This window comes from Homo sapiens, chromosome 7, assembly GCF_000001405.40.
Source record: "Homo sapiens chromosome 7, GRCh38.p14 Primary Assembly".
In the NCBI taxonomy this organism is placed as follows: domain Eukaryota; kingdom Metazoa; phylum Chordata; class Mammalia; order Primates; family Hominidae; genus Homo; species Homo sapiens.
In genome coordinates this window covers 141,551,684-141,565,674 of record NC_000007.14, presented here as the reverse complement: position 1 = coordinate 141,565,674, position 13,991 = coordinate 141,551,684, and the positions used below count along the sequence as shown (strand labels likewise).

Here is a 13,991-nt window from a genome sequence, read left to right as displayed (position 1 = left end):
GCTTAAATTCCTAGTTTGGGAATTTTTTTTTTTTTTTGAGACGAAGTCTCTCTTTGTCACCCAGGCAGTGCAGTGGTACGATCTCAGCTCACTGCAGCCTCCGCCTCCTGGGTTCACGAGATTCTCCTGCCTCAGCCTCCCGATTACAGGCATGCGCCACCACACCCAGCTAACTTTTGTATTTTTAGTAGAGATAGGGTTTTGCCATGGTGGCCAGGCTGGTCTCGAACTCCTGACCTTAGTTGATCTGCCCGCCTCGGCCTCCCAAAGTGCTGGGATTACAGGTGTGAGCCACCAAGCCTAGCCTAGTTTGGGAAATTAGATGGATGGTGAGTGGTACCAATTACTGAGAAGGAACAGGTTTGGCAGGAAAACTTTTTACTTTATTTTCCATCTGTTAAGTTTGAGGCACCTGTGAAGCATCCAAATAGACAAGTAGCTGAATGTATATACAGGTCTGGAATTCAAAAGAGGTCTTTATAGAGACAAAAATCTGGGATATGGCTTCATATTGCTGGTAACTGAAGACATCATGAGTGATTAGATCATGCAGGAAGAGAATATAATGTGAGAAGAAGGCCTAGGGCAGAGTCCTAGAGAACTACTCCTCTAATGTCTGAGTAGAAGGGCAGAGAAGAGTAACAAAGGAGGCTGGGCACGGTGGCTCACACCTTAATCCCGGCCCTTTGGGAGGCTGAGGAGGGCGGATCACCTGAGGTTGGGAGTTCAAGACCAGCCTGACCAACATGGAGAAACCCCGTCCCTACTAAATACAAAATTAGCCAGGTGTGGTGGCACATGCCTGTAATCCCAGCTACTCAGGAGGCTGAGACAGGAGAATCGCTTGAACCCAGAAGGCAGAGGTTGTGGTGAGTGGAGATCATGCCGTTGCACTCCAGCCTGAGCAACAAGAGTGAAACTCTGTCTCAAAAAAAAAAGTAACAAAGGAGAAGAAGAAGAAACAGCCAGAGACAGAGGAGGAAAAACAGGAATATGGGAGTCAAAAGACAAAGAAATGAAGCATTTCGAGGAGAGTCAACTGTGTCTAAAGCTGAGTGGTTTATATGGTTTGGCTGTGTCCCCACCAAATCTCATCCTGAACTACAGTTCCCATAATCCCCATGTGTCATGGGAGGGGCCCAATGGAAGGTAACTGAATCATGGGAGTGGTTACCTCCACCCTGTGCTCATGAAAGTGAGTGAGTTCTCACAAGATCTGATGGTTTTTTTAAAGGGGCTTTCCTCCTTTTGCTCAGCACTTCTCCTTGCTGTCATCATGTGAAGGAGGATGTGTTTGCTTCCCCTTTTGCCATGACTGTAAGTTTCCTGAGGCCTCCCCAGCCATGTGGAACTGTGAGTCAATTAAACCTCTTTCCTTTAAAATTACCCAGTCTCAGGTATCTTTATTAGAAGCATGAGAACAAACTAATACAGTGGTCAAGAAGAATGCAAAATAAAACTGGTGAAAATAATTATAATGAAAATTGGAGAGGATGTGGCATGAGAGGGAGATAGGAAAGCAGAGAGAACCTATTCAAAAGGTTTAATCAGCAGGGTGTGCTGTCATGCACATATAGTCTCAGCTTCTCAGGCGGCTGAAGTGGGAAGATCACTTGAGCCCAGGATTTTGAGGCTGCAGTGAGTTATGATCACACCACTGCACTCCAGCCTGGGTGACAGAGCGAGATCCCATCTCTAAACACAACAACAACAGAAACAAACCTTTAGTTGTGAAAACGAGAGGAAATGAGAGCTTAAAAAGCCCAGGAATGACATGTGAAAAATGGAGTTGAGGAACGTATGATGTGTTGGATCAAGGAATCTACGATATGAAAAAGATGAAAAGCAAGGAAGAGTGATGGATTGGGAAGAAAACAGAGGAGCCAAGGGACAAGAAATCCTAATAACACTGAAGAGCAGAAGTAATGGAATGAAAAACTGGAATAATAGAAGGCCGTAATGACAGAATGGGATACTGAAGTTCCATATTTCAGAAGTGGAACAGGAGCAAGTGATGATAAAGTTTAGCATTCAACCAATGAGAAGGGGGTGAAGTTGGAAGAAGGTGGAGTAGTGGGTCAAAGTCACAGATACAGAAGAAGTCAAGGAAAGTGGGGGCAAGTTGTTAGGTAGGTCATCCACATGGACACTCAGGGTGTCCGGGAAGATAACAGGACTTAGAAAGAAAATGGCATTGATAAGCCAGGCGCCAAAGCCTAAGCTGAATGTAACTGAGATCCCAGAAGGCTGGAAGATTTATAGTTTTATTGGATAGCCAGATAAAAGTCTTGAAGGATGGAAGATGTATAAGATGGAAGATAAATGGTTTGGAATAGCTACTGAAGGGCCAGGAGAATCCCAACATCCTTACACCCTGATCCCATTTGAAAGGACAGAGATGGGAGCAAGATGACAGATAAAAGGCAGGGCTAATGTGCATTGCATCTCCCACCTGGACAGACAGAACAGTGTGTGGAGAATCACACTGTGATCTTTTGTTCCAAGAACCACCACAGGAATGTACCAGGAAAACTGAAAGAATTCACAGATGCTTTGAAAGAAGCAACACACTGTTGCAAATGCTGCAAGACAGACGAAAAACCGTGATTCCCCAAAGTGTGAGGGGGGAAAACCCACCTCTGAACACACATCCCCACTGGGGAATTTGAAAATCCAGATCATAGGAGAAGGATTTAACCTTACCTAGAGCTGGAACAAATTTAGGAAACTCTGTGAAATAAAAAAGTAGAAGCAGCAGTGGGCAAAACCTTGTAGGCACACAGTCTCCAGCTCAAGCCCAAAGATGCCATCCCTGACTATATCTTGCAGGAGCCACCAACATTGTGAGCAGACAGCGAGAAGCATGGCCTGAAAGCCTTGCCTGCTTTCTCAGCGGGGAAGCTTATGACCTGGGGCAGATCTGAGTTCTGCGCACAGGCTGCCTGGATCTAAACTTGGCACTGTTAGCAGAGCACTCTGGAAGTGAGACCAGCCACACTAAATGCGTGGGAGCTGGATGAGGCCTTTCACTATCAGTTATCCCCTACTTCCCTGGTGAACTATACGGCACAAGAGAAGTAGCCATAATGCCCTCTGGAACATAACCCCACTGGCCTGAGAACCACCTCCCCATACCCTACTGTGGTCACAGCAAGCCCTCCCCAAGGAGAGTCTTAGCTCAGACCCACCTAACCCTGCCCCCACCTGAAGGTATTTCTCTATGAGCCCTGGTAGCTGAACACAAAATATAGAAACTCTTGGGAGCTTTATGGCCCCACCCATCGCCTGAGAAACCAGAATACTTGCCCCAACTTATGGCAAGTTCAAATCCCACTATTACTACCGCAGCTGGTGTTCTCTTGCAAATGCCACCTCCTGGCTGAAGGCCAACCAACTCAGGACATTACCGCAACTCATGACAGAGTAACACTGCTCCCGAGAAGGAGAAAACAACAGCTAATACCACTGCCTGCAACATCCTGGCTAACCAAAGGTCCTGAGTCTATCCATGTGACAACTTCACCGCTTGCATAACCAGCATTCAAGAAAGCCAGCACACTAAACCTATCTATAGCCAAGGATCCTCACAGAGTCTACATCATTCCCCTGCCACCTCCACCACAGCAGGTGCTGGTACCCATGGCTGAGAGACCTGAATATGGATTACATCACAGGACTCTTTTCAGACATTCCCCAGCACCAGCCTAGAGCCCGCTATCCCTGCTGGATGGCTAGATCCAGAAGACCAGTAACAATCACTGCACTTTGGTTCTCAGGAAGCCCCATCCCTAGGAGGAGCAGGAGAGCACCACATCAAGATATCGCCTCATGGGACAAAAGAATCTGAAGAGCAGGCCTTGAGTTCCAGATCCTTCTGCTTGTGGGTAGTTTCTCACAGCAGAGACAAAATTGCAGCACTGGACACAGTAGGGAAAGTTGCACCTAAACCCCAATAGGCAGGCAGCCTCTGTGATCACATAGGGCCTTGGAGAAGAGGTCCTTGTTCCCTACTGGCACTCCACCACAGAGGAACTCAAACAAATCAGCAAGAAAAAAAAAATAATTCCATCAAAAAGTGGCCTAAGGACATGAATAGACAATTCTCAAAAGATATACAGATGGCCAAGAAGTATATGAAAAAAATCTCAATATCACTAATCATCAGGGAAATGCAAATTAAAAAAAATAATGAGATACCACCTTACTCCTGCAAGAATGGCCACAATTAAAAAATTAAAAAATAACAGATGTTGGCATGGATATGGTGAAAAGGGAACACTTACGCTGCTGGTGGGAATGTAAATTAATACAACCACTATGGAAAACAGTATGGAGATTCCTTAAATAACTAAAAGCGGAACTACCATTAAATCCAGCAATCCCACTACTGGGTATCTACCCAAAGGAAAATAAGTCATTATATGAAAAAGACACTTGCATATGCATGTTTATAGCAGCAAAATTTGCAATTGCAGAAATATGGAACCAACCTAAATGCCCATCAACCAACAAGTGGCTAAAGAAAATGTGGTATATATACACCATGGAATACTACTCAGCCATAAAATAAACTGAAATAATGGGCCGGGCGCGGTGGCTCACGCCTGTAATCCCAGCATGTTGGGAGGCCGAGGCGGGCGGATCACGAGGTCAGGAGATCGAGACCATCCTGGCTAACACGATGAAACCCCGTCTCTACTAAAAATACAAAAAATTAGCTGGGTGCGGTGGCAGGCACCTGTAGTCCCAGCTACTTGGGAGGCTGAGGCAGAATGGCATGAAGCCGGGAGGCGGAGCTTGCAGTGAGCCGAGATCGTGCCACTGCACTCCAGCCTGGGCGACAGAGCGAGACTCCGGCTCAAAAAAAAAAAAAAAAAAAGAAAGAATGGCACTTGCAGCAACCTGGATGGAGTTGGAGACCATTACTCTAAGCGAAGTAACTCAGGAATGGAAAGCCAAATATCATATATTCTCATTTATAAGTGAGAGCTAAGCTATGAGGGCACAAAGGCATGAGAATGATATAAGGGACTTTGGGGACTCAGGGGGAAAGGTGGGAGTGGGGTGAGGAATAAAAGACTACACACTGGGTACAGTGTACGCTGCTCGGGTAACGGGTGCACCAATATCTCAGAAATCACCACTAAAGAACTTATCTATGTAACCACAAACCACCACCTGTTCCCCAAAAACTATTAAAATAAAACAAAATTTGTAAAAACCATAATAATAAAATGACCTGATGGGGGAAAAAAAAAAGAAGAAGAAGAAAGAAAGGACAAGGCAGCTTCCACTCAAGAAGACTACAGGGTAAGATCTTCTCAGGGTAAAAACAAGTTTGGTATAAAGAATGTGAGCACTGTTCTGTGAAAAGGTTGGGGATATATAGGCAAAAAAAAAAACGGAGGGAGGGCAACAAAAGGAAAAGTATCACAGCATAATAAAGGTCATTTATGATGAGCCCACAGCTAACATCATACCCAATTTTGAAATACTGGAAGTTTTTCTTCTAAGATCAGGAATAAGACAAAGATGTCCACTCATCACTTCTACTCAACATAGCACAGGAAGTTCTAGCCAGAGCAATGAGGCAAGAAAAAGAAATAAAGGCATCCAAACTGGAAAGGAAGAAGTAAAATTATCTCTATTCACAGATGACATATCTTATATGTAGAAACCCTAAAGATTCTACACCAAAAAAAAAAGCTGTTAGAACTAATAAATTCAGCAAAGTTGTAGGATACACAACACACAAAAATCAGTTATATTTCTATATCCTAAGAATGAACAATCTGAAAAGGAAATTAAGAACACAATCCCATTAACAATTGCATCAAAAGAATAAAATACTTAGGAATAAACTTAAGCAAGTAGGTAAAAGACTTATACGCTAAAAACAAAACACTGCTGAAAGAAATTAAAGAGTACAATAAAAAGACATCCCGTGTTCATAAATTAGAAGACTTAATATTGTTCAAATGTCTATTCTACAAAACAATGTACAGATTCAATGCAATCCCAATGGCATTTTTTGCAAAAATAGAAAAAACATCCCAAAATTCATATGGAATCTCAAGAAATCCCCAAACATCCAAAACAATCTTGAAAAAGAACAAGGATGGAAGTCTTATATGTACTAAATTTAAAATATATTACAAAGCAATAGTAATCAAAACAGTGTGGTATTGGCATAAATACAGATATATAGACTAATGAACAACAGAAAGCCCAGAAATAAATCCTCATCTATATGGTCAAATGATCTTCAATAGGGATGCCAAGACCACGCAATGGGGAAATGACAGTCTCTTCAACAAATGGTAATGGAAAAACTAGATATCCATATGGAAAATAATGAAGCTGAACCCCTATCTTATACCATATAAAAAAAATTAACTCAAAATCTGTTAAAGACCTAAATGTAAGACCCAATATAAAACTCCTAGAAGAAAACATAGGGAAAAGCTTCATGACACTGGATTTAGCAATGATTTCTTGAATATAACACCAAAAGCAGAGGCAAACAAAAGCAAAAGTAGACAAATGGGCCTTAACGAAACTAAAAACAATATATATCAAAGGACATGATCAATAGTGTAAAAAGGCCAGCTACAGAATAGGAGACAATATATTGAAAATTCTATATCTCACAAGGGATTAATATCTGGAATCCATAAAGAACTCCTACAGGCCAACAACAACAAAACTCAATTAAAAATGGAAAAAGGACTTGAACAGACATTTCTCCAAAGATTTTTAAATGGCCAACATGCATGTGAAAAGATGCTTGACTTCCTTAATCATTAGAAAAATGCAAACCAAAACCACAATGACATATCACCTCACACTCATAAGGATAGCCCATATCAAAGAAACAGAAAATAACAAGTGTTGATGAGGGCGTGGAGAAACTGAAAACCTTGTACACCGTTTGTGGGATTGTAAAATGATGAGCCACAATGGAAAACAGTATGAAAGCTCTTCAAAAAATTAAAAATAGACTACCATATGATCTAGCAATCCCCACTTCTGGGCATATATCCAAAATAATTAAAAACAGGATCTCCAAGAGGTATCTGTACACTCAAGTTAATTATAGCATGTTTCACAATAGTCAAGAGGTAAAAGCAACCAAAATGTCCATTGACAGATGTAAAGACCATACCTCTTTAAACGTAAAGAATATATCTTTACATTTAGAGATAATATAGGCCAGGCGCAGTGGCTCACACCTGTAATCCCAGCACTTTCAGAGGCCAAGGCGGGCAGATCACCTGAGGTCAGGAGTTCGAGACCAGCGGGCCAACATGGTTAAAAAAAAAAAAAACCATCTCTACTAAAAATGGAAAAATTAGCCAGGCATGGTGCACGCGCCTGTAGTCCCAGCTGCTTGGGAGGCTGAGGCAAGAGAATCACTTGAACCTCGGAGGCAGAGGTTGCAGTGAGCCAAGATCACACCACTACACTCTAGCCTAGGTGACAGAGCAGGACTCCGTCTCAAAAAAAAAAGAAAAGGTAAAGATAATATAAACATTATAGACATTATAAGTGAAATAAGCCAACCACAAAAATACAAATACTATATGACTCACTGACACAAAGTATAAAGTGGTCAAATTCCTAGAAACAGAAAGTAGAATAGTGGTTGTCAAGGACAGCTGGGTTGGGGCGGGAATGGGCAGTTGTTCAATGGGTACAGAGTTTCAGTTTTGCAAGATGAAAAAGTTCTAGAGATCTGTTGAACAACAATGTGAATATACTTAACACCATCGAACTGCAGATTTACAAATGGTTAAGGTGAAAATGTTTATGTCCTGTGTTTTTTCACCACAATTTTTTAAAAAGGCTAAATAGTACCAAATCATGCAAGAGAACAGTCTGAGAAAAAGAAAAGCAATAGGACAACAAGAGTTTGCATTTGGGGCAGTAACATTGAATGTCAAGGGTGAAGACAGAGCAAAATGAGGCCTCCAGGCTGCCACCACACTTCTGGCTCAAGCTGTTTCAGATCCAATTTAGAACAAGGCCTCCATTAGTCCTGAAGACTTAATGGTCCTTTTTTAAGGTCTCAAGGCTACATGGGCAAGAACTTATCATGGTTCCTCTAAAGACATCCTGAACAGAGTACACAGTTCCTCAAATCTTCACCTAGTCGTAGAAACAGCAGTAATCCTCAGTGGGTGGGAATTTTCCCCGACTGACCTAGCCATGGCCTAGATTGGATGCTCCAGCAAAGGGGCCTTGAGGACTCAAGTGTAGTTAGAAAAAGGAGAAGCCAAACATTCCATGCTCCATTTGTTAAAATATCCGCTCCACCCTTTTCTTAATTACAAATTTTAAGCTTCTTATGTCTGCTTTTTTCCTTAGATGCTGGCTAATGGAATTTGAATGCCTGGCCTTGACAACACTTAGAAAGAAAAGAAGGGGAATGTATTGCAATTTTTCCACAGCTGCAAAAAAAGCAGACATCATGTTATATCATAAAGTTATTCTCACAGTGGTGAATTGAGTGTTCACAAAATATCAATATGAATCTCTTTTCCAATGTGGAGACTTCTAATTCAAAGAGTAACTGTTCTGTTTTCTGTTCAACAAAGCAGTCATTTAAGACATCTGGATTTCAGTGTTGCTACATACTTAAAATGTAGTCCTTAATCTCCAAAAGACTGCAATTTGATTGGCTGTCTTTTGTATAATTTTTATACAAAAAAACTTCTCTGTTTATTTAAATCTTATTACCATATTAAACTAAAAGAGGAGCTCTGGCACTTTCTTCTCCCTCCATGCAGGAAGACTAATAAAATCCATGACTCCTCTGAATTCTTTATTTAAACAAAAGGTTTGAAAGTCTACTTCTCATTTAAATTAATGTAGGCTAATGGGACAGATGAGGATAGTAACAGGGGATGGAGGAACAAATTCAGTAAGTGTCCCTTGATGACAGATCAAGAGACTATAGTAAGAAATGGAAGGAATAAAATGCCAGGGAGACATGAGTTCCAGTACTTGCTTACTACTGTGAAAGGAAAAATAAATCTTGGGGCCCCAAAATCACTAAGCTAAAGAAAAACAGTCAAGCTGGGAACTGCTTGGGGCAAACATGCCTCCCATTCTTTATTTTTTTTTTTTTTTTTGAGACAGGGTCTCACTCCCTCACCCAGGCTAGAGTGCAGTGGCCCGATCTGGGATCACCACAACCTCCACCTCCCAGGCTCAAGCGATTCTCCTGCCTCAGCCTCCCGAGTAGCTGGGACTACAGGTGCACGCCACTACTGCCTAGCTAATCTTTGTATTTTTAGTAGTGATGGGTTTCACCATGTTGGCCAGGCTGGTCTCCTGACCTCAAATGATCCACCTGCCTCAGCCTCCCATAGTGCTGGAGTTACAGGCATGAGCCACTGCGCCCCACCGCCTCCCATTCTATTCAAAGTCACCCCTCTGCTCACTGACATAAATACATATCTGATTGCCTACTTTAGAGAGGCCAATCAGAAACTCAAAAGAATGCAACCATTTGTCTCTTATCTACCTATGACCTGGAAGCTCCCTTCCTACTTCCAGTTGTCTTGCCTTTGTTTCAAGTTGTCCCACCTTTCCAGACCAAAACCAATGTTCATCTTACGTATATTGATTGATGTGTCATATCTCCCTAAAATGTATAAAACCAAGCTGCGCTCAGACCACCTTGGGCACGTGTCATCAGAACTTCCTGAGGCTGTGTCGCAGGCGCACGTCCTTAACTTTGGCAAAATAAACTTACTAAATTGACTAAGACCTGTCTCAGATTTTGGGGGTTCACACTACTAACTTGGGAAAGGACTTCTCTTTCTCTAAGATGTCTTAATCTCTTCCACTATAAATATAATGAATAAAAATAGCTTCCTTTCTGATGTCTCTACTTTATTCTCTAACCACTGGATATAAGTATGCATGTAGTTCCAGCTCTGGTTACAAGAAGTCTTTGTTTTTGCTTTGAATAGCATTTATTTTTCTTTTACACCACATGTTTTATAGGGATAAGCACAGCTGAGCAAGATTTTAACCTGAGGCCCTTTGGGGCTGTTTTGCTGCAGATGCAAAGGTGGGATGGGGCTGTCAGATAGTTACCAGTGTTTTCCATAGAGCCAATGGCCTCCCCAGGTCAGCAGGCAGAGCCCAGCTGTAGTTTTCTTCCAGTGATTTCGAAGCGTTTTAAAGAACACCGTCATCTTCTAGAGATTTGCTAGGTTAGTAGAGGCGGAAAGAGAAAAAAATATAATTTATCCATGGTCTTCATGTAATGTCCCTATTACTCTGTCTTCCATTCTTTTATCCTCTCTCACTCCTTTTTTTCCCACTCACTCCTCTTCCTCCTTACCACTTCTCCTCTGGCCTCAGCTCATCTTCTCCCTTCTATTTCCATCATCTTCATCTTCTCATCCACCCACACATCCATCCACCTTTCTTTCTTCCTTCACGTATTTCCACCTAACCTATACTTCTTCCCTCTCTGATCACTATTTCTTCATTGCAATAGAAGGAAGAGGGAGGGGCAGAAAGAGAGGAAGGGAATTCCAGGCTTCCTCTGGTTTTTCTAACTCCTTACAGCCTCACTGTACCACTGTTTAAGAGTATACATTTGTCTATCCATCATAATGTAAGTGTCCCAAAAAATAATAATATGAAGGGCGAGTTCAAAATAGAAGAAAATACCAGGTCCTCAATAGGAAAAGAAACAGAAAACATGGATAGAAAACTCAATGAAGAGGCAATGTACATGGCTATCTAAAAATGTTCAACTTCCTGAATAATCAGACATGCATATTACAAAGAACTATCATTATTGACCAAAATAAATTTTTAAATGATCATATTCACTGATGACATAACAAAATGATAGACACTCATACACTCCTTTAAAGAAGGTAAATTAGGAAGACTTTACTAAAAAACAGAGTGACACTATAGAATATCTTTATTCTTCATGACATTTATTATTTGGTGATGCTTATATTCATTTGCTCATTTATTAGCCTAATCCTACTGGAATGTAAACTCCATGAGAGTAAGGACATAATTCTGGTCACTGCTGTATCCCATGCCTAAAGTAAGATCCGGCACACAATAGCTGTTTAAGAAATATTTGTTCAATGAATAAGTTAAATAGCAATTAAATATTTTTTTACCCAAAATTTTTACTGATGGGGGAAAAAACCCAAAACATAATGTTAAGTAAAATTAGCAGGATAAAAAGCCATATATAATTGGCATTATACCAATTATGTTCAAACATGAGTATAAATTTAAAAAGAAAACCAATACAATTAAACAAAAACAATTTTTTTTTTTTTTTTTTTAGACAGGGTCTCACTCTGTCACCTAGGATGGAGTCCAGTGGCACAATCATAGCTCACTATAACTTCTGGGCCCAAACAAATCTCCTGCCTCAGCCTCCCAAGTAGCTGGGACCACAGGCACATACCACTACACTTGGCTAATTTTTTTCTTTCCTTTTTTTGTTAGAGACAAGGTCTCACTATGTTGCCCAGGCTGGTCTCAAACTCCTGGCCTCAAGCAATCCTCCCGCCTTGGCCATCCAAATTGCTGGGATTACAGACGTGAGCCACTGCACCTGGCTCAAAAACGAAATTTTAAAGTAGATCCCTCTAGGTTGTGGAATGGTGGGTGATGTTTATTTTTAAAATTGCAATGTACTTTCTAAGTTTTTGAAAATGAACTTATTTTCTAGATAAACAAAAATTTAAGCAAAATTTTTTTATGACTATCTGTTAGTGAGGTATATAGACCAAGAAAAAAAAAACTGTTTCCACTTAAAAGTCCAGTTCTTTTATGACTCCCTTTAAATCCCATTGGTTAAAATTCCTCTCAAGGGTAGAAACATCCTTATCAAAAGCAGCAGTGAAGCCAGTGCCAGGGAGACCATCTTCCTGTGAATCCCATACACCGTCAGGCTGACACATGATTCCAAAGGCCCAACTAATTCTTGAACTCCTCTCCATCTGGCCCTAAATCACTCCTTCATTCAAGAGCCCTTTAATAAACACCTATATGGTAGGCTCTGTGCTGGGGGTGAGGGCAGAGAAGAATGGGTCTCATGCGTTCTCTCAAGTGCTCACAACTGTCAAACCCACAATGCTAACACAATTATACAATTATGATTGCAGTACAGTGGGATAAATGTCGAGGAGTCAGCACAAGGCTTTGTGAGAGTCTGCAAGAATGAACCTAACCTGGTCTAGGGCTGAGGGGGTGGTGCACAGTCAATGAAGTCTTCCCTGAGCCTTGAATAATGAGGAGGAAATCACTAAAGTAACGAAGGAGTTTTGTGGATGCTATTGTCTGAATGCTGTGTTCCCCAAAAATGGTGATGTGGAAGCCCTATCCCCATTGAGATGGTATTAGGAGATAGAGCCTTCGGGAGATAATTGGGTCATAAGAGTGGCTCCCATGAAAGGGATTAGTGTCCTTATGAGACTAGACACTACAGAGATGGTCTCTCTGCATTGTGAGGATACAGCAAGAAGACAGATCTCTACAAACCGAGGAAGAGAGCTATCACCATGCACTCAACCATGCTGGCACCTTAACTTTGGACTTCCAGCCTCCGGAACTGTGAGAATTAAATTTCTGTTGTTTAAGCCACCCAGTTTTTGCTATTTTTTTTTTACAGTAGCCCAAACTGAGAGTGTACAAAGGCATAAAAGACAGTAAAGTGTGTTGAGAGAAACATACGTAGATAGTTGAGGGGAGAATTAGGTTCATGGCTGAGACTGGAAAAAGGGGGTATGATCTAACAGTAATACGCTGGGGAGAATTTAGCAAGGCCTATTTGTTCTGATTCTTCTCTGTGTACCTGTGTCTTCAAAGATAAGGGCATTCCTTTCCTCGATCCTATACTTACAGGATGAGCACCTCTCACTGAAGGGTCTTATACAGAAGAAGGTCAAACAATTCTTTTATGGCCTGCTTCAGGGGAGAAAAGTGGGAAGACACAAAGTGACTTTCCTGCTTCAGTTGTTTCCTCTAATGCCAACGAGTCATATTTTGCGGCAGTGTGTCCTGAATCTCATCAACAGCGGAGTAAAAATTGGAGTGTCTAGAACAGGGGTTCTCAACCTTTAGTGCAGAACTTGTTAAAAACACAGAATCCTGGGAACTGCCCCTTCCCGCAAGAGTCTCATTTGTTCTGGAATTAAGCTGTCATCTTCACTTGTTAACAAGTACTCCCATGTTGGTTGCAATGGAGGTCACCACTATACCAGACTTTGAGAAACAGTGGTTTAGAGATAAAGGATTGAAGACCAGGTGGGATTAGAAAAGACCTTGAACCCACACTAAGGACTTTGGCTATTATTTTGAAGACAATGAAAAACCTTTAATGGGCTTTAAGCAGGTGAGTGATATAATCATATTTGAACTGTTAAAAGACCACTTTATAGCAGAATGAAAAATGAACTGGAAGAAGCTAAAATTAAAGCTAAAGAGAACCATTAGGAAGTTATTGCCATAATCTGTAGGCTCCTAAAAGAACAAACCAAGATAAAGGATGGATTTGGAAAGCTTTAGAAAGTAGAAATTGGCAGCAGTTGGTGGTCCATTGACTGTAGTAAGTGAGAGAGGAGGAACCAAGCCAGGTTTTTGTGCTTGGGTGACTGGTTGAATAGTGATTTCAGTCATTTAGATTTGAGTGGTAGGTTTGTGGAGAAAAGTAGTGCGGTTTAGGAGATACTGAATTTGACACGCCTGTGGAGTATCCAGGTGGAAATGTTTTTCTTACTAGATAGTGAACCCCTCATGGGCAAGTTCGTCTATCCATCTGCAGCACCAGAACCTAGTAAAGCGCCAGAATGAATGAACCAACCAACCCATCAATGGATCTGATACTATTGGCCCCATTTTGCAAAGGGCTATGCTGAAGCCCAAGGGACGAAGTGAGGGGGGTCCACAAGTTAGCGACAGCTCTGGGACTCGAACCCAGGACAGCTGACTCC

The 13,991-nt window shown here is 41.5% G+C and overlaps 1 protein-coding gene across 4 annotated transcripts in view; it reads right to left on the bottom strand.

Annotated features, from left to right (window-relative positions):
• Positions 1–13,991, bottom strand: part of AGK (acylglycerol kinase) — a 103,835-nt gene that overhangs the window by 89,570 nt on the left and 274 nt on the right. For 3 of the 4 annotated variants that reach the window (XM_024446835.2, NM_018238.4, NM_001364948.3), the window contains exon 2: positions 10,108–10,222. In XM_024446835.2, coding sequence (XP_024302603.1) covers positions 10,108–10,208 — 101 coding nt within the window. In that variant the 5' untranslated portion in view covers positions 10,209–10,222. Of the gene's footprint in view, positions 1–10,107; positions 10,223–10,357 lie in introns of all 4 variants that reach the window. The other variant, XM_011516397.4, reaches the window with a different exon arrangement.